General features: G+C 39.5%; 1 protein-coding gene across 18 annotated transcripts in view, besides 1 other annotated feature; it reads left to right on the top strand.

Annotated features, from left to right (window-relative positions):
- EPB41L2 (erythrocyte membrane protein band 4.1 like 2) overlaps positions 1-20,754 on the top strand; it is a 223,899-nt gene that overhangs the window by 61,496 nt on the left and 141,649 nt on the right. The window contains exon 1 of one of the 18 annotated variants that reach the window (NM_001252660.2): positions 1,021-1,130. The exons of the other annotated variants lie outside the window; for them this stretch is intronic. The gene's annotated coding sequence lies outside the window, so the exon portion shown is untranslated. Of the gene's footprint in view, positions 1-1,020; positions 1,131-20,754 lie in introns of those variants that run through there. 18 annotated transcript variants of the gene reach the window in all.
- Positions 7,794-8,641: an enhancer, noted in NCBI's record as "H3K27ac-H3K4me1 hESC enhancer chr6:131314249-131315096 (GRCh37/hg19 assembly coordinates)". NCBI's record gives its function as "activates a minimal SCP1, AML or CMV promoter by ChIP-STARR-seq in primed H9 embryonic stem cells {active_cell/tissue: H9 hESC(primed)}" and the evidence as "EXISTENCE:reporter gene assay evidence [ECO:0000049][PMID:30033119]".

Below are 20,754 nucleotides of genomic sequence, written 5' to 3'. Positions count from 1 at the left end.
TAGGGAAAGAAGGACAGGAAGAAAGAATGGAAAGAGATCAAGAAATAAGGGGGATAAACAGCCAAATATTAGGGTGGGATTAATTCTGAATGTCATTTTGCAAAGTTGGTTATACTTTTCGTTCTTTTCCAGGAGGTTTTCAAACGCATGGGGTGGGTGGGGAAACTCCGGTAGAGATGACAGCTTAAGTGTTGGAGAAAGATGACGGAAACTGTCCTGAGTGACTAGATAGAGTAGGAAGAAACAGAACTAAAAAAATAAATTCTTTTTTTTCTGGCAGCACTCTGCGCTTCTTATAATGCTGTACTTAACTTGTTCTCTAGTGTTGTACCAAAAAGTTTGTTCCATGTAATATAAAGAATCTCTGTTTTGACTGACTGCTTGCCTGCACATGCTTGTTCGCGCTCACGTGCTCTCTTTCTCTTTCCCTTGCCCTCTCTCTTGCTCTCTCTCAGCTGCTTGTCTCAGAGTAGGCATTGGAGCTCTCCCTGTCCCTCAACTTGTTCACCATGGAAGTGTCAGGACGTAGACGTGACTGATTCTATGAGCTTCATGGAGAAGCAGCCACATCACTTTATAGTCTAAGCACACTTGAGTGATAGCATGTACGCACTCATTTACGCTCTCTTCTCTTAAAATAAAAGAGAAGTGTCTAGTTGTATAGTTGGAATATACTTGGCAGAAAGTTTCTTGTGTTGCTAGAGCGGGATCTCATTTCTCTTTAGTCTTTGTTTATTATTCATTATATTTAAGTAATAATGGAGCTGCACTCCAGATCATTTGGAATTATTTTTCATCTGTTTTTGTTTGGCTCTGGAAAAAAAGAAGTGAAATAATTTGGGAATTCATTTCATGATTGGAAAAGCAATGCTGCTTCCTAAGGATATTTATGTTTACCTTTGGGCTCTATTATCAGTCTCATTATCTCCTGACCCAGGGCTGGGCCCCTCTGACTTAAGCACTAGGACTGGATTGTGTCAGCACTGTACTTAAGGCGTTTATCCTAATCCAGGCGTCCTTGGATTGCACGGTGCCAGCAAGCAAGGTGGTAACAGTGATCACAGCCTGGGCTGCAGGTGTGAGTTCTGAGGAGATCTATGGTTTACCCAGCGAATTTATTACTGATAAATGTGAGTCGATTTTTCCTTGGGATGCTCCGTTGTGGGGCAAGTGGTATTTCTGTTTTTTACTGTGTTATTCTCCTCAAACGGAAGGAATACCTGTGAATTTTGTTTCATAGGGTGCCATTAACCCGTTGATGTATGGTTCAGATTTGGATTTTTGGTAGTTGCGTTGGTCAGATTTCCTGGGAGACAGCTTGTATTTTTCTTCCTAAAAGTTATGTGTAACCATTACAAATTATATTTGAGGGGGTGCAGAAGAAAACAATAAGAGCGGATTTCTTGTTTTATGCCTCAGTTGTGAGCTTTCCTGGATAGGCACCCTTCGCTTTTCCAGGCATTCTGTGTTCCTATTTTCTGCTGTGATTTTAACACCAACTTGAACAGTGAAGGAAGAAGATCCTCCCTACCCAGTCTAGTAAAGGTTATACACAGATGAGAGATTATAGTGATGCCTGTATTTTTTTTTTTTAAAAAGCCACTATTCCACATCTTTATACGGTATTTACATCTATAGGAAATTGGAAGGTCAACAGTGAGATGTGCATTGGGAAAACAAAGATAACAAGAGGAAAGTATATTTGGCAAAAGTGAGCTCCATTTGAGAAAACACTGAGGGGTAAATTCATTCAGAAATGTGAGCTTATCACCTAATTAATTTCAGCTCATTGCCTGGTTGATTTAACATGTTTATGCAAATGAGAAATACCTGGCAACTATTTTTTGCCAGGAGGTTAGGTTTCTGCCTTTGCTCAGGATATTCTAAAAAGCTGATCTTTCAGTCAGTTAGCTCAGTCTAAAATTTCTTTGATTCTCTAATATCTGCATAATAAAGGGTTGGCTAAGTTATTTTCTTGGGTCCCTTCCAGATCTAAAATTAATATGATTCAGGAGGATTGTATACCCCTCCCAAATTAATTTTAGCATGTTTTCTGGAGACATTTCTAGTTTCTTCTTGCTTTTCTTAGAATTTGATACCTTTTTGAAGCTAGTGACCCAGTAGGCCAATCTTAATCCATGAGAAGCAATCATGCAGGGTGAAGATAGTAAATACCATGCTTCCCCCATTTTCTTGAAAGGAATCTTAAAAGACGACATGAGATTTCTTACTACAAATGTGCCGAAATAATATTTGTTCCAGTAGAGTGCTGTTTGACTTAATATTACAATAACTTTATTGAATCATTAAGATGGTTATCTTGGATAATAGAAAAGTAAGATTATAATGCCTAGAATGGTTTGAAAACTTAGGCATGCTGGATTTTTCTTATTGTTTCTTTCTGCCCAACATATATTAAGTAGAACTTTGTGCAAAAGGGTATGGTTGGTTGCTGTGGTGCATACAGAAATAAGTAAGACAGACTTGCTTGGTAAGGTGGATAAGATGGGCGCATTGGGCCTAGAGTGTAGAAAAGTGCTGAGCTCTGAAAGAGGGGTAGGGGACACTAGGGGATCTGGGAGAGAGAAGAACAGCATTGAGCTGGGGTAGGCAGGGAAGTCTGGCAAAGTCATAGCCTGGTAACTGGACTCTACGGTGGTGCTCGTCATTATGGGCATTCTACTTGGTTGGCTGTCTTTTGAGAAGAGGCTTGAGGATTGAGCCTGGAGACAGTGGCTCTTACCTCCAGAATGATAGCTTTCATCCTGGGCAGAACTGAGTAGAAAGGCTGGAAAAGGAGAGTCAGGCCAGAGTGTGGAGGACTCTATTCGAGGTAGAAGAATTGCTTTCTGGGTTTGCTTTCCTCTCTCAGTGGAGTCACTGAGGTTTCCTGTACAGGTGAATGATATGATCAGAACTGGAGTTCAGGAAGATTAGTTGGGTAGCAGTGTCCTGGGATTCAAAGTAGGATTGACAATTTATGAAACAAATAGTCATAGGGAGAAAAATTTACCTGTTGCTAACTTATTTACTGGTTTTATTTACTGTAATCAGAGTCTACTGTTTGTAACTATGGCTGAAGTTGTTTTTTCACAATATAGAAATCATCAAATAGTTTTTCAGAGTACTGTCCACTGAAGATAACTAAGCACATACACCTCAGATAAAGTGAGGAATAATCAGTTTAGTATCCTGATTATCATCTTTCCCCATCCAGTCTATTCAGATATGCTATTTATTTTGTAATTAATCCTAACTCTCATCATTCCTTCTCTTCGTTTTTTTCCTAAGGCATTCTTAAGCTACTCTTTTAACAGTGTTTTGCAAGTGTTACTTGGTTGATCTTGGGTGGGTGTATCCCAATTTCCCCTACACCCCCAATTCATTAAGCAACTAGCTCCATTTTTGTATGGTGTTATAGGAAAGTTCTTGTCCCATTTTTGAAAAGAATTTGTCCTTAATCCATGTGAAAATTATTTGATTTTCATAGTCTTGGAATTCAAAAGATCTTGGAAAGAAAGTCAAAGTCTCATAGCTAGTAAGTGAAGGAGTTGGAATTGAAACTCAGATCTGTCTGATGCTGAGCTATGTTATATCTCTAAGACTCAATTTCCTTACTTATAAAATGGAGTCATTGGTAGTACATTTCTCATAGAGTGGTCGTGAGAAATTAAATGAAATGATACACATAGATTGCTTATCATAATACTGTTATTGCTTGTTTATAAACTACCTTTTAACAGGAATTATAGAAATACAGTGCTTATGAATCAAATTAATTCAGTTGATAAGTAAGGTTATTTTGTGATTTTTTTTAGTTATAATTTTATTTGCAAACTTAACAGTTGCAATAACTCGATTTTTAAAACATTAGGTGCTCTTATATACAATAATGAGTGAAACTTGTGTCCAATAGTTTCTTTTAATTCTTCCCTACAGACTGTCATTCTCCATGTTTAGCTCTGTTTTGTGTTAATTTTCACTGCCTTTTCCCCCCTGAAATGCAATAGTCCTGTAGTGTCCTACTGGAAACATTGTTCTCTTTGTTAGGGCTAAAGAAGTGCCTTTGTCACTCCTTTGAGACATTCTGCAGATGCCATTTTGCAGTCCTGAAAAACACGTCCCTGTCCGCCTTGTGCTGTGTTAAATTGTGCGTGTATTGTGCTTGATATTTTAATGAAGTCGTAGAGAAAATTTGACAGTAACAGTTGTCATATAACAAAGAAAGGCTCTTTCTTGATCTAATGTAGATATGTGTTCCCTGATCCCTTCGTAGCTCTGTGTGGTCTGAAAGTAGATCCCCCCTGCACTTAGATGTGACCTCAGATGGTTGATGCTTTTTGACTACCTTCATAGGAAACTGTTAAAACAACTTCTGAGCAGGAACTCTTAAGTCTTTTGTTGATGTGCATTGCTTTTTAAAGACCTCTTAATTTACATGATCTTAATAGCGTTTTAAGTGGCAAGTACACTCTCTAATTTGCTAAGTGGCTTTAATCCTTGTATGAAGAACTGAGGGAAAAATCTCCTGGGAAATTGCTGTGATAAAATCCAGGAAATTCCTTTCATTCTTTTAAATCCAGTTCAAATCTAACTTAAAGAAAAGTCCTCTAATGTAACAGTGTCTGAAAGCTTCTCAGAGTCCAGTGATTTCTTGTGTATAGTGCCAAGCTCAAAGAGGAATAGTATGAATGTACCTCTGTGTTTTTGGTAAATCTATACCACATGGCACAATACCAATTTATTATAACTTTGCTGGGACTTAGTTATCCTGTTTTGTACTGCCCTTAAAACTGTTAAGGAGTATAGAGTTAAAGGGAGAAAACCCTACATTTTTCCATTTTAATGGACTTTATTTAAATTTTTGAAAATTATAACACATGTTCAGTGCAGAAAACTTGGTAACAGAAAAATGCAAATAAAGCAAAATTTCCAGGTACCCACATTTCAGGAATAATTACCGTTACCATTTTGGTTGAACATTTCCAGTCTCTTGTCTGTGAATATGTTCACATAGGTTAAAGCAACAGCATTATCCTTTTAAATTCACTTGTTTTCCCTTTGCAAAATAGGGTGATGCATTGCCACAAATTCTTAAGGTAGTAGAACTTAATTTTGGAAGTGTTAATCTATAGGGCATTCATTCATTCATTCATTAGATGGACTCATTTGAAAGTTCACAGTTTGTAGAAAGTGTGTACATTTATTGCCTACAGAAGATGTGCATCAGAAAGACATAGGCTAGTCATTTTGGATGTTTTCCAGGATCATATAAGTGTAACAAGTCTATATTATAACTCTTAAGAAGGCTTTGAAACAAGTAAAGATCAGATCACATAAGCCCTGACCCGTCCTGGAGGGGCCAGCTCACTGATTTCCAACAAGAGCTGATCTGTGCTGGCCTGACTCCTGTCATCTGGGGCAGAGGTACACAGGGGTTCCAGTGTTTGTTTATGTCTGGGCATCAGTTGGGCTTGTTTTATAGAATGATTCCAAGCTCTTGGTCATGCCATTCCATCTGTGTCTTTTAAAGATAAATACACAATTGGTATAGGACAGATCCTGTTACAGTAAACTTTATGGCAGAAACCAACTCTTTATATGGATGTTCTTTTGTAACTAAGGGGTATAAGTGAGAGGAAACCCTCCAAGGAGACTCAGATACTGGGGCCAGTCCCTCTCCAAAGAAGAGACAGAGTATCTCTGGCTCCCTTATTACTCTGAGGTCCAGTGGGAAGAATATTTACTTATGATATACAGATAATAGAACAGGAAAAACAAGTTTCCTTATCTATTCATAACTGTGCTATTGAATTTATATGTTCCAATATGGTTAACCTGGAATTTTAGGGGACAGTGGGAGGAGATAGAAAAGGATTGGGAAGGAGGATATGACAGCGTTCCAAAATATGGCTGAACTCAAACTGCTTGAACAGAGCTAGTGTAAATCATGGGAGTGAGGCTGACCATAGGAGGAGGAAAGGATCAGGCAGATCATGACAAAGGGAAAGTTAGCTATGGCAGCTAAGTTAATTTTTATGAGTGCTACATTTCACATTTTGGTTCAGATATATACTATGTACTATGAACCCCGAATATCTGAGACAGGTCTCAGTCAATTTAGAAAGCTTGTTTTGCCAAGGTTGAAGACCTGCACCCATGACGCAGCCCCAGGAGGTCCTGAAGACATGTGCCCGTGGTGGTCAGAGCACAGTTTGGTTTTATACATTTTATTTTATTATTATTTTTGAGACAGGGTCTCACTCTGTCACCCAGGCTGGAGTGGTTTCACCATATTGGCCAGGCTGGACTCGAATTCCTGACCTCAGGTGATCTGCCTGCCTAGGCCTCCCAGAGTGCTGGGATTACAGGCATGAGCCACTGTGCCTGGCCTGTTTTTTTTGTTTGTTTTTTTGAGACGGAGTCTCGCTTAGTCGCCCAGGCTGGAGTGCTGTGGTGCGATCTCGGCTCACTGCAAGCTCCGCCTCCCAGGTTCATGCCATTCTCCTCCTCAGCCTCCCGAGTAGCTGGGACTACAGGCGCCCATCACCACACCTGGCTAATTTTTTGTATTTTTGGTAGAGATGGGGTTCCACCGTGTTAGCCAGGATGGTCTTGATCTCCTGACCTCGTGATCCACCCGCCTTGGCCTCCCAAAGTGCTGGGATTACAGGTGTGAGCCACCACGCCTGGCCGGCCTGTTTTATGTATTTTAGAGAGACCTAAGACATCAGTCAACATATGTAGGATGAATATAGGTTCTGTCTGGAAAGGTGGGGTGGGACAACTTGAAGCAAAGGCGGGAGAACTCAGCGGGGAGGGGGCTTCCTGGTCATAGGTAGATAAGAGACAAATGGTTGCATTCTTTTGAGTTTCTGATTAGCCTCTCCAAAGGAGGCAATCGGATACGCTTTTATCTCAGTGAGCAGAGGCGTGACTTTAAAAAGAACGGGAGTCAGGTTTGCCCTAAGCAATTCCCAGCTTGACTTTTCCTTTGAGCTTACTGATTTGGGGGCCCCAAGATTTATGTTTTTCACAGTACCTATACTTTTCTATATGTTTAAGTATAATATATAAACATGTATATATCCTTTCAGTGAGTGTAGTCATAGATATGTGCTTGTCTGTCATACTTCAGCTTTTATAGGTACAACTGCAGACACAGTCCTTTTGTCGCCTGGGGCAGACCATGCAAAGTCCAGTTGACCTGTTGCATCTGGAGGCCCTGTCTTTTCTCATAGAATGCAGTCTGCAGGGGCTGTTCATTCCTCTGGTTCCATTTCTATCTAGCCTATGTGTCAGTGGTGAGTCCCAGCGTTAGGTTTTCCCCAGGACACACTCTGCCCTGCCCTCTCCTGTTGCACAGCCATATCCCAATTCTGTAGGTCATTAGTTGTGTGGCTCATGGGTAGATGATCAGGTAAGTGAGAACAGTGGTTTTTCTGGGTCTCAGCTTGTCCTTGAAGTGTGATTCCTGATCAGATCTAACCGCCCCTGGTTCCTTCATGCACTACGTTACAGCTCAGGGTCATCTTGGAAAAGGGGCTACATTACTCTTAGCCCATTTTAGTCTTTCACATTCTTAGCATCCTGCTTACTCTGCCAGTGGATTTTGCTGGAGTGGTAGACTCCCTGCTGGGTTGGTTTGCCATCTACTAGATGTCTCTTTCACAGCCTTGTGATTTGTGAATGTGTGTACCATAAACTCACAAATAACTTCATGACGTTTCTCCCAACCCCAAGTTTTATTCCCGGTATACTGTGGCTTAAAGTCGGTAACAGAGCTATTGTTAGGTTAGGTCATATACTGCCTATTTTTAACCTTATACCTGGAAGCTTGGGTTGGTTTTTAAACATTTTTCATCCGAGCCAAGGGTAACCCTGATGGTGGCAGGTAGGCCAATATATTTTTTAAAATTAATACTGGGGCAACCTACTCTGCTTTACCTTTTCTATAACCAAATAGATAGGAATGAAAGATTCTCCCCAGGGCCTGAAAGCTTAAGGGAATGAATAACTCCTCCCTCCTCACGCCCAGTTCCAAGGAGCAAGGTCACTTGCGCCAGCAGCCGGTGTCAGCAAGATAGCAGAAGCAGGAAGAGAGCTGGCCGGAAGACACATACCCCCTGAAGATCGAGAGGGAGGCCGTCTGGGTACTACCTAGCAGTTACATCAGACTGAGACACTTCCTGTTTACAGCAGACTATAAAACCCCTGCCCCATCCTCTTTGGTGCTGACGCCATTTTAAGCCTCAGCCCACCTGCACCCAGGCGCTCATTAAAACAGTGTGTTGCTACACACCGCCTTGTGTTGTTTGTTGGCACGCTCTCAGGGTTTGAACCGATACAAGAGCCTTGCAGAGACAATTATAAGTACCTGTGTTTTAGAAATATATGTTGGGTTTCCTAGAAAATTACCTAATTTCCCTGGGACAAGGAAGCCTCATTTCATATTTCTCTTATCTATAGCCACTAGATGTCATTTCTGGGTCCAATAATGATCTTGTATTTCTCTCTGTGCGGTAACACCTGGTGGTATATATACCTTTTTGGGGTATTTATTGTAAAGGTGACTAGGATCAAATATTTAATTGTAATAGTGAATTTTGTTGTTGCCAATTAAATTCATTATGCTTACCACTGTAAAATAACACAAAGATTGAGAAAACTGATTTAAGGAGCTATCTTTGGTATTTGTTTTTCCTTATTATGAAATAAATTTGTGCCCAGTCTTAGTGTGTGCCAGGCTAGGGATTCAAAGGTGAGTAAGAAGACTGAGCTGCTGAGTTCACAGTAAGACAGACTGATACTAAGAATTGGAATTGGGGCTGGGTGCGGTGGCTCATGCCTGTAATCCCAGCACTTTGGGAGGCTGGAAGCTGAGGCAGGTGTATCAAGAGGTCAAGACCGTCCTGGCCAATATGGTGAAACCCCATCTCTACTAAAAATAACAAAAATTAGCTGGGCGTGGTGGCCCTGTAGTGCCAGCTGCTTGGGAGGCTGAGGCAGGAGAATTGCTTGAACCTGGGAGGCGTAGGTTGCAGTGAGCTGAGATGGCGCCACTGCATTCCAGCCTGGCGACTGAGCGAGGCTCTGTCTCAAAAAAAAAAAAAGAATTTGAATTGGTAATTTCAGCAGTAGAAATACATACAGAGAAAGGACAACAAAGCGAGTCCCCATAGAGAGGAAAGGATGAGGAATGATGGCTGTATTGAGTTCATTTTCTGTTTGTTTTACTGGGATTTGGTTTGTAGCTGTACACCACTTAATGAATTAGGTGCAATTATTGATTAACTCATAAAATGTTCCATTGACTACCTACCACAAGCCTAAGTTATTAGGGTATGGGGGGTATGGATGTAAGATTGCTGGCTTTCCCCTAGGGATTTGATTACTTGAGTGGCAGCCAGTCAACAGCAATTTAGTGGTAAGGAGAAGGATGCTGGTGATAGGAATTTGACCAGCAAAACTGTAGATACATAAATTTTTCATACTGAACCATTTTGCTTAATATTTAACAGAATCTTTTCATAATCTTATCACACTCACACATATCAAATGTGTGAGTGTGAATCTTTTCGCAAATCACCCTCTTAATAATTACTGAAGAAACGTGTTGAGTCAATGAATATATCTTTTGTGTAAGAATAGATTTTTACAAATTGGTATTTACTCAACATGTGTGTAATTTGCTACTGGCTGTCCTTCCATAGAAAGATTTTCTTTTTTTTCTTTTTTTTCTTCCCCTAATTGAAACTTCCAGGAAGTATCACTCTCCTAGGATTTCTATCCAAGTACTTTTCTGAAGCCAACGGGTGGGTGTATGTTTAGATCCAAGAGAAACAAATTATAACCATGGATGTGAACTTTTCACAGTCTTCTCAAAATAAAAGCTTGAAAAAATATTTTTTTATATTTTTCTTCTACAAAGACCAAATCTCCTTCTGAAGAGGAATAAAGCAAAGACAACATGTTAAGCACATATGCATCTTCATGTTGTTGACACCTTCCCTAAAATTAGCGGAACACCTCAAAATGTTTATTATTTTTGGCCATGATTTTAAACTTTAAAAACCAGTACAAAGATGTAGCTATATCAAGTCCAACAGAGCTGAACGGTAAAAAAATAAAAAAAGAAGTAGATACGTAGTGGAGTTCAAGTAATATTGGACATTGCTGTTTTAACGAATGTGTTTTGAGTGTGAAGGAACAAAATACTGTAGGATTAGATTTATGAGGGTAAGCCAAGTAAAATGTGGATGCCCAGTAGTAAGACCTTTCTACTGTATCAAACATGAATTAGACATGTTGAAAGCCTCTTAAATTTATTAAATAAGAATATGATTGGGAAAGGGTGAAGGCTCTGTAAACTGTAAAGCCCCTGTAAATGTCTCCTTGGTATACTACACTGATTGGTTTCTTAAGCTACTTAGCACCCATATGACTACCATTGTGTTTTGTGTGTGTGGAAGAGGACATAGCTGTGGGGGTACACATTACTAACATGGCAGATGGGGGCAGTGGAAATCAGGGTAGAAAAGGAGTATGACAGACGCAAAATTGACATTTTAAGTTCAGAACTACTGGTGTTTCCAAGTCATGGCCTTGAACCAAGATTGTACTGTTTGGTAAGTGGCTCATGCCTGTAATCTTAGCACTTTGGGAGGCTGAAGCTGGCGGATCACGAGGTTACGAGATTGAGACCATCCTGGATAACATGGTGAAACTCCGTCTCTACTAAAAATACAAAAAAACATTAGCCAGGCTTGGTGGCATGCGCCTGTAGTCCCAGCTACTTGGGAGGCTGAGGCAGGAGAATTGCTTGAACCCTGGAGGTGGAGGTTGCAGTGAGCCAAGATCATGCCACTGCACTCCAGCCTGGGCGGCAGAGCGAGACTCCACCTCAAAAAAAAAAAAAAAAATTACCTGTATAGTTAATAAGGTTATAAGCACCTTTAGAACATTTAATTATATGTCCTCGGCATAGTATACCAACCATACTCATTCGTATTATTATGAGATCTTTGTCTAGACTTTTACAGACTATCCTTCACTCTTGCACTAAACAAAGCACTTTATTTTTGCTGTTTAGGGTTATCTCTTTATTTTACAATCAAAGTTAATTCTGTATATCACAATTTGCTGCTTCGTACCATCTCTCTTTTCCCATATTTTTATCTTTAAAATAGGTTTCTTGTACATAGACTGGAATTGATTCTTTCTTTTTAAACCAGCCTGACAATCTCTGCCTTTTAATTTGTGTCTTGAGACCATTTACATTTAATTATTGATATATTTGAGTACCATCTTGCTATGTGTTATGTATTTCTCCCATCTAGTCTTCGTTTCTTTTTCTCTTTTACAGGCTTCCTCTAGATATGTTTTTCTCTGACTTCATTTTGTCTTTCCACTATTGGCTTTTTTTTTTTGAGACAGAGTCTTGCTTTGTTACCCAGGCTGGAGTGCAATGGTGTGATCTTGGCTCACTGCAACCTCTGCCTCCCAGGTTCCAGCGATTCTCTTGCCTCAGCCTCCTGTGTAGCTGGACCTGCAGTCATGTACCACCACACTCGGCCAATTTTTGCATTTTCAGTAGAGGCAGGGTTTCGCCATTTTAGCCAGGCTGGTCTTAAACTCCTGACCTCAGGTGATCCACCTGCCTTGGCCTCCCAAAGTGCAGGGATTACAGGTGTGAGCCACTGTGCCCTGCTGATCCACTATTGTGTTTTATTAGTTATATGTCTTTATGTTGTTGTTACCCAGTCTAAATTGAACTCATTAGCTTGCCTCCAAAAGAGCCTAGTCCTTCCTTGTTAACTATTTCAGTGAATGGCTTTACTGTCCCATTTCTAATTGTTCTTTCTTTAGCTTTCCCTTGCTCTCTTAATTCCCAAATGTCTTTGGCCATGTGTCTTACCATTCTACTAACTGAATATTTCTTGAATTTATCCACTTCGTTCCACTGACACTTTCCCTATTCAGATACTGTAACTTGCATAAAGATGAGCTCACTCAGGGCCTAGTTTTAATTTTGATAACGAAGAAAACACAGATCCCAACATTGACAAATAATTGACAAACCATTTAAGTTTTTAGTCTCTAGAGAAGCAGAAGGTTTCGTTATAACAGCAAAACTTAAGAAAAATTATCTTCATCAACTTACCTTTTTTGATTCTTCGTCACAGTATAGAGCAGACCTCAAACGCTCTCCCTTAAACCAGTTTCTCTCCCACCAAATATCAACTCTCCCGCAGTTCTTTTAGCAGCTATTTTTTTTTTCTACTCAGCCCATTCCATAATACATCAGTCAAGCTGTGTTCAAAATTGAGATTATAAAGGCATACTTCTCTTTGAGGGAGAGAGAGCAGAGGCTGTGACTACCTATTTGTCAACCTTATATTTTATTTTAAACATTATACAGCCTTGTGGAGCTTGTAACCTGATAGGGGAGAAAGGCAAGTAGAGAGTCAATTGGGGAGAATAGAGGTTGTTCAGAAGAGTATGTATTAGGTGTGTGTACCTAAGGCAGTTATCACATGTGTCCACAATTGTCTGGCACTTAATGGGCTATCAATAGTTATTTGCTGAATGAGTGAATGTTCAATGAATGATCTGATATTGGGCTTCCTGTCCTTCATTCTTTGTTTGTTTGTTTGTTTTTGAGACAGAGTCTCACTTTATCTCCCAGGCTGGAGTGCAGTGGCGTGATCTTGGCTCACTGCAACCTCTGCCTCCTGGGTTCAAGCAATTCTCCCACCTCAGCCTGCTGAGTAGCTGGGACTACAGGCATGCACCACCATGCCCAGCTTATTTTTGGATTTTTAGTAGAGATAGGGTTTCACCATGTTGGCTAGGCTGGTCTTGAACTCCTGACCTCAGGTGATCCGCCTGCCTCGGCCTCCCAAAGTGCTGGGATTACAGGCATGAGTCACTGTGCCCAGCCTCCTTTCCTTCATTCTTAGCACTTATCTTGCCTGTTGAGCTGATTTGTAGCTAGTGTTGTAGCAGGTAGATTAGTTTACCACTGAGATTTCCCTCCAAATATTTTTTCATTAGGCACATGGAGATGACTGTACCTTCTTAAGAAGGTAGACTTGGTCTACCATGTTTAGTTCTTAGAGCACCTTGATGCTATTCTTGTTATGCAGACTTTTACATATTTACAGCCCCTTCGGATGCCCTGCTGTAGTCTCCCCCGCCACCCCTCAGGAAAGCCTGGCTTTAAGGTGCTTTTCCTCTATTTTTGTATTACTAAAACTTTTCAGGAATAGTCACTTGTTTGGAAAAAAGTTTTGAGATTAATACTAGTAGCAAATGATAGGATCAGGGTTAATCTCTCATACCTCTGGGGTGACCCCTAAGTTGTCATCTTTACTCTTGATTTCTGTAATCTTTTCTAAGAATTTAGGTGTTACATCACTTCAAACTCAGTATGCCTGAAAGTTCCAGAATCTTGCAGTCTTCTTGTCTTCTGGCCTTGAATCTTGGCATTATTTTTTAGTTATTCTTCTTTATCTGCTATTTAGACTTCAACTCCTATGGATTATTTTCTCTAAAATGTGTTTAATACCTATTCTTTATTTGTTATTTTGACTGGTACTTCCACCTGAGCCTATTTTTATTTATTTATTTTTGAGACAGGGTCTTGCTCTGTCACTCCAGCTGGAGTGCAGTAGCCCAGTCAGGGCTCACTGCAGCTTCCACCTCCTGGGTGCAAGCAACTTTTCCACCTCAGCCTCCTGAGTAGCTGGGACCACAGGCATGTACCACCAACACTCAGCTAATTTTTAATTTTTTTTGTAGAGATAGGGATCTCACCATGTTGCCCAGGCTGGTCTTGAACCCCTGGGCTCAAGCAGTCCTCCTGCTTAGGGCTCCCAAAGTATTGGGATTATAGGTGTGAGCCACTGCACCTAGCCCACCTGAGCCTATTTACCTTGCTGTCTGCATTCTCCCTGTTTCTACTGACTACCTTTCCCAATTTTAGCCTCCTAAATTTTTCTTCTCAGAACAACATTCATTCATTCATTCATTCATTCATTCATTCATTCATTTATGAGACAGAGTCTTGCTCTGTTGCCCAGGCTGGAGTTCTGTGGCACGATCTCGGCTTACTGCAGCCTCTGCCTCCCGGGTTCAAGTGATTCTCCTGCCTCAGCCTCCGGAGTAGCTGGGACTACAGGTGCATGCTACCACACCCGGCTAATTTTTGTATTTTTAGTAGAGACAGGGTTTCACCATGTTGGGCAGACTGGTCTTGAACTCCAGCAATCAAGTGATCCACCTGTCTTGGCCTCCCAAAGGGCTGGGATTACAGGCATGAGCCACCACGCTTGACCCTCAGAACAACATTTAGTGTTCATCCTGCTTGGCCACAGTAGGCCCAGGAGATTGGAACCCACGTATACTACTGGTGGGAATGTAAGTGCAGTCATGTTGGAAAGTAGTCTGGTGTGTCCTCAGAAACTTAACATAGAGTAATTATTCGATCCAGCAGTTCTGCTCATAAGTATATGCCCAGCAGAAATGAAAACGTATGACCACACAATAAATTATACACGGATGTTCATAGTGGCTATTCATACTAACCAAAAGGCAGACACAACCCAAATATCCATCAATTGATGAATGGATAAACACCCTCTGATATAGCCATAGAATTTAATATTATTGGGGCATACAGATGAAGGAAGTACTGATATGTTACAACATGTATGAACCTTGAAAACATAAGTGAAAGAAACCAGACACAAAAGGCCACATACAAGAATCCATTTATGTAAAATGTCCAGGATCGGGAAATTTATAGAAACAGAAAGTAGATTAGTGATTGCTGGGGGTACTGGGGTGTGACAGCTGGAGTATGAGGTTTCTTTTTTCTTTAATGAGATCAAAATCATATAACATAAAATTTATTATTTTACCCATTTTAAAATATACAGTTCAGTGGTTTTTATTACATTTGAAATGTTCAACCATTACTACTATCTCAGAACATGAGCCGGGTGTGGTGGCACGTGCCTATAATCTCAGCTACTCGGGAGGCTGAGGCAGGAGAATCGCTTGAACCTGGGAGGTGGAGGTTGCAGTGAGCCAAGATCGTGCCACTGCACTCCAGCCTCCTGGGCAACAGAGCAAGACTCCATCTCAAAAAAAAAAAAAGAAAAAAATCCTATACCTCTTAAGTTGTCACTTCCTACTCTTCACTTTCCCTAGAACCTTCTGAATCTGCTACACCATTTTACATTCCTGCCAGCAATGCATAAGGATTCAAATTCTCCAAATCCTTGCCAACAGTTCTTTTTTTTTTCTTTTTTAAATATTGCTATCCTGGTGGGTTTGAAGTGGTATATGAATGTGATTTTGATTTCCACTTTCTAATGACTAATGATGTTTAATATCTTTTCATGTTATGATTGGCCATTTGTATATCTTCCTTGGAGAAATGTTACTCCTAGTTTATTGAGTATTTTTATTGTGAAAAGGATGCTGGCTTTTGTCAAATGCTTTTTCTGTGTCTATTGAGGTGATCATGTGGGTTCCCCTGCTTGGTTTCTATTAATATGGTTTATTGGTTCATTTTCTTTTGTTACACTACTCTTGTATTTCTGGAATAAATCCCACTTGCCCACGACATATGATCCCTTAATATCCTGCTGGATTTGGTTTGCCAGTATTTTGCCAAGGATTTTTGCCCGTATGTTTATAGGGATGTTGGTCTGTAGTTTACTTTTCTTGTGGTGGTTTTTTTTGGCTTTTGTATCAGGCCCTATAGAATGGGTTAGGAAGGGTTTCTTTTCGGGGTGATAAATATGGTCTAAAATTGTTTGTGGTGCTGGTTGTACACCTCTGTGACTATACTCAAAACTATTTAATTGTACACCTATAATGGGTGACTTGTATATCTCCAAGCTGCTACCAAAAAAGCAAAACAAAAGAAAAACATCTTCAAGGAGCTTCTCACCTATATTCTTTAGCCCAAGGTTCTTTTTCTGTTCTTCAAAGCCCTCAGCACTCTTTCTAGCTGTCATATTTCAGCATTACCTCTGATTTATCTTTGTGTATAATTCTGATCCAGTGACAGTGGTCATTTCACTGCCCAGGTCACCAACTCCTACTCACAATGACACAGGATTCTTTTCCTGGTCACTTTGCAAGCTGGGGACCTTCAGCTGGCGATGTCCCATCTGGACCTCACTTGGCCATGCTACCTGCTGCAGGAGACGTCACATTCACTTGGCCCTTCCAGGTCGAATCTAGCTTATGCACTGGTTCCCGAGTTCTTGTCCCACGCACTGGTTCCCGAGTTCTTGTCGCGCACCCAAGAAGAATGAGGTGCACTGACAGTTGAAGAGTGAGCTAGGCAGGGAGTTTTACTGAGTGAAGAAAACAGCTTTCAGTGGAGAGGAGATGCGGGATGGTCCTACTACTTGAAGGTGGGAAAGTCCCCCCCCAAATGTGGCTGAGTCCAGGGCTTTTATGGGCTCAGAGTGGGGGAGGAGCAGGCCAAAGGTAGTATTGGAAAAGACAACATTCAATTGGTTAAAAAGCATTATTCAGAAAGAATCAGTCAGGAAAGGGTGGGCAAACAGGAACAGAAGATCTCACTCTGGGTTGTGCGTTTCATTCAGGACCAGCAGTCCTGGTCTTTCAGCTTTCAGGCTGGTTTTTTTGGCTTGAAGGTGAGGGTTCACTGGGGATCTGTCTAGGCATTTGGCTGCCTCCTGTCACTATCACCAAGATCTTCGAGAGCATATTGTCCATTCTTCATCTTCACCCTGCCTTAGGGCTGTTCCCATCTCTCTTGAAGGTTCTTGTCCCTTTTTCCTACCAATGGCAATTCATTCTCCCTTTCAGAGTTTTATTCAAGTTTCTTCTATTTACCATTCTAGCCAATAGTAATCTCTTGGTCCCAAGCCCGTAAATCTGTTGATTATGTTGTTTCAGTTAAAAAATAGAAAGGATAAGTGTGATCTAGAATGTATGTATTTTCTTAAGGAGACAGTGGGACAGAATATTTGAAACTAGAGCTGTTCTGGGAAACCTGGTATATGTGTTGGTAGTCCTTTAGGCATCTTTTTAAAAATGCATTTACAGTTACCTCGAGTTTATAGAGAAAGCTTTTCATTTGGACTTCTCTGATCTCCCCAAATACAGTCATGTGATACATAACAACATTTTGGTCAACAACAGACCACATATAGGATGGAGGTCCCATAAGATTCTAGTGGAGGTGAATAATTCCTATTATCTGGTGACATTGTTCCCATGGTAATGTCATAGCACAATGCATTACTCACATGTTTGTGGTGATGTTGGTGTTAACAAACCTACTGTACAGCCAATCACATAAAGATCTAGCACATACAGTTAGGTACAGTACATAATACTTGATAATGATAGATGATTATGTTACTGGTTTATGTATTTACTATACTTTTTATCATTATTTTAGGGTATACTTCTTCTACTTACAAAAAACAAACTTTAACTGTAAAATAGCCTCAGACATGTCCTTCAGCAGGTATTTGAGAAGAAAGCATTGTTATCATGGGAGATGACAGCTCCATGTTATTGCCCCTGCGGACCTTCTAAAAGCACAAGATATGGAGGTGGAAGACAGTGATAGTGATGATTCTGACCCTGTATGGGCCTATGCTAGTATGTGTGTTTTTATCTTAGTTTTTAACAAAAGAGTTTAAAAATAGAAAAAGGCTTATAGAATAGGGATATAAAGAAAGAATATTTTTGTACAGCTGTACAATATGTTTGCATTTTAAGCTAAGTGTTACAAGAGTAAAAAAGCTTTAAAAAATGCAAGTTTATAAAGTAAAAAGACAGCTAAGGTTAATTCATTGAATAAAAATATTAAAAAAAATTTATGTGGCCTAAGTGTACAGTGTTTATAAAATCTGTAGTCAGGCTGGGCATGGTATCCCATGCCAGTAATCTCAGCACTTTGAGAGGCCTAGGCAGGAGGATTGCTTGAACCCAGGAGCTTGAGACCAGCCTGCACAACATGGTGCAATCCCATCTCTACAAAAAATAAAAAAAATCAGCAGGGCAGGTGGTGTGTGCCTGTAGTCCCAGCTACTTGGGAGGCTGAGGTGGGAGGATCACTGGAGCCCGGGAAGTTGAGGCTGCAGTGAGCCATGATCACACCACTGTACTGCAGCCTGGGTGAACTTTCAGGTGAACTCAAGACTCTGTCTCAAAAAAAAAAAAAAAAAGTCTATAGTAGTGTACAAGTGTATAGTAACATGCCGTAAAAATTTGTAGGCTAGAAGTAATAGACTATGCCATCTAGCCTAGATGTGTAGTAGGCTATACCATGTACGTTGTAAGTACACTCTGTGATGCTGGCACAAGGATGAAATCACCAATCACCTTAAGGATACATTTCTCAAAAACATGATCCTCATTGACACATTACTGTAGTTCTCAGTGTTCTGAAGAAAGGCATATACTGATATATCTAGCCAGTAACATTAAATGCCAGGCAAGCCTCTGTTGATACGTATATGTGTGTTTGGAAGATAGAAACATCTGCAACTTTCATTTGCGGTTCCTGGTTTCTCTTATGAAATCTTTTTGAGAACTTTATGGTACTAGAGTGGAAACAGTTGAATAAAGTCCTGATGATTATAGTAAAGTCCGTGGGCAAATGTGAGACACCGGAATGTGAGGCTGTTTACCTAAAGGCTGCTTTTTGTAGTTGAGGCTATATAAGCATCATGGTGTGATGTCAAGAATTTATCTCACATAAACTAGAATTGGATTTACACATGGTTGTTAGGCGGTTGAGCCAGAATCCAAATTCAGGTTTGTCTAACTCCAGGACTGTTGATTAACCACTGTATGATTTTTGCATTTTATGCTTATTAAGGGAAGTTATTTAATTTCTCCGAGCCTCATTTTCTTTGACTACAAAATGAACTTGATAATATGTGCCTTACAGAGATGTTTCAAAGCATAAATATGTTTGTAAAGCATTTAGCAGAAAGCTTTCTCACCAGGTAGATAGGTCTTTTATTATTAGTAAAATATTTTCTTCAAAACAATGACTCCAACAAAAAATGGTTTTTGAAAGAAAGTCTGAAACTTCTGCAGAGAACGTTGCATAATTCTTGGAATATTGAGTTCTTTACGTTTTGACACAAAGTTTTCATGTCCGTTTCTCTAGAATTTAGATAATGTTCCAAGTAAGTCATTTGTTGGTCATTACTTTATTTCCCCCTATTTTTTTATTTGTTATTCTGAATGAATTGCTGTCAAAAAGGTAACAGAATTATACCCTGTCTGTCATTAACTTCCCTTCCAAAGAATTGGAGAATATCTGACACTTGTGGTTAACTGCAACTGTTATATATTTAAGCCTTAGGTTTTGAAGTTTATAGAATGAGGTTTAGAAAGGCTGATTTTTTGTAGTTGTTGTTGGAAGCCATAATAGAAATAAACTAGAGAAGTGGTTATTGGTTTTCATCTTGGCTGCAGAAGAAGTATTTGTTGGTGTTGCTATAGAAACATAGTCAAAACTACAGTATTGAAAGCATCACAAAATAAAGCATTGATTTGGTTTCCTAAATTGTGTTTCTTGTTTCGGAGTTATTCCTAATTGACTTAAAAATGCTTTTTTTTTTTTTTAATTCTTAGCTGTCATAAATATCCAGATATAAGTTTAAATGAAATAAAGCTCAAAATAAATCAGTGTTCTGAATATGAATGCTAATCATCAAAACTTTTAAAATCACTATTATTCCTTAGTAGTTTGAAAACATAATTCTGTTATAATAAATTCAAATTTCCTGCTGGTGATGGTGATAAATAGTAATTTTAAAAATGTATATCTTTATATATTTTAGCATAATTTTGGTTCAGTTAGGGATTTTGCATAATGAAAACCACATATACTTTTTTCTCCAAATTTTATTTATATTTTTATTTTACAAATTTAAATGGACATGCTATTTTAGCTTTTTTAATAAAGCTACAATTTGGATCAGTAGAAGACAGTTCCACTAAACAGTTTGTAGGGAAAAATAGCTCTGCTTCTGGCTTTTATAGACTCTCTTGCTCAAAGGAAGAACTGCTATTGAGTCAGTTACAACTTCAGTGGAAGATGTCTTGCAGCTGTGCCTTTTTGGTTTTGTTCCAGAGATAGTATTTGTGTGCACTGTCAGAATGTCTTAAAGGCCCACCCTGGAAAGGATTCAACCCTATAAAAGGAGTTTTGTTTTATAACCTTTCACATATTCTTATGGAGTTCTGGTGGTGATGGTGGTCTTCATTATCTTGTCTTTTAAACTGGCATTTTATTGAGACACAGGCTTCACAGTTTGAGAATAGGAGCTACAGTTGTAGGTATTGTATCTAATAAAATAAATTTAGTCAAGCCCTTGGCACACACTATGATGAAAACAAAACACCCCTCCCCAAACTTTGCAATTTCAGTGAATTATTTTTAACAACTTTTCTGCCTCTGTACTGATAAGGAGATTGGCACTCATTTGATTATTCTCCTGGGTAACTTATTTAATAGATATTGATTTACAAATCAAGTTACTATGTAAGAAGAGTTTAAAACACCAATGACTTCTCATATTGAAAATTGTTCGGCCTGTTTTAAGCCATATGTTTATATAAATGCTAGGAGAATTATCATTGAATATATTCTGGGTGGTTGACCATATTTTCTCCAAAATTTCCCCCTTTCTCCTTAGTTTTTTTCCTTTACATTGTTAAAATTACAGTAAA

This window comes from Homo sapiens, chromosome 6 (assembly GCF_000001405.40).
Source record: "Homo sapiens chromosome 6, GRCh38.p14 Primary Assembly".
Classification (NCBI taxonomy): Eukaryota; Metazoa; Chordata; class Mammalia; order Primates; family Hominidae; genus Homo; species Homo sapiens.
Note: the sequence above shows the minus strand (reverse complement) of the source record. Positions and strands in the feature narration are given on the sequence as shown.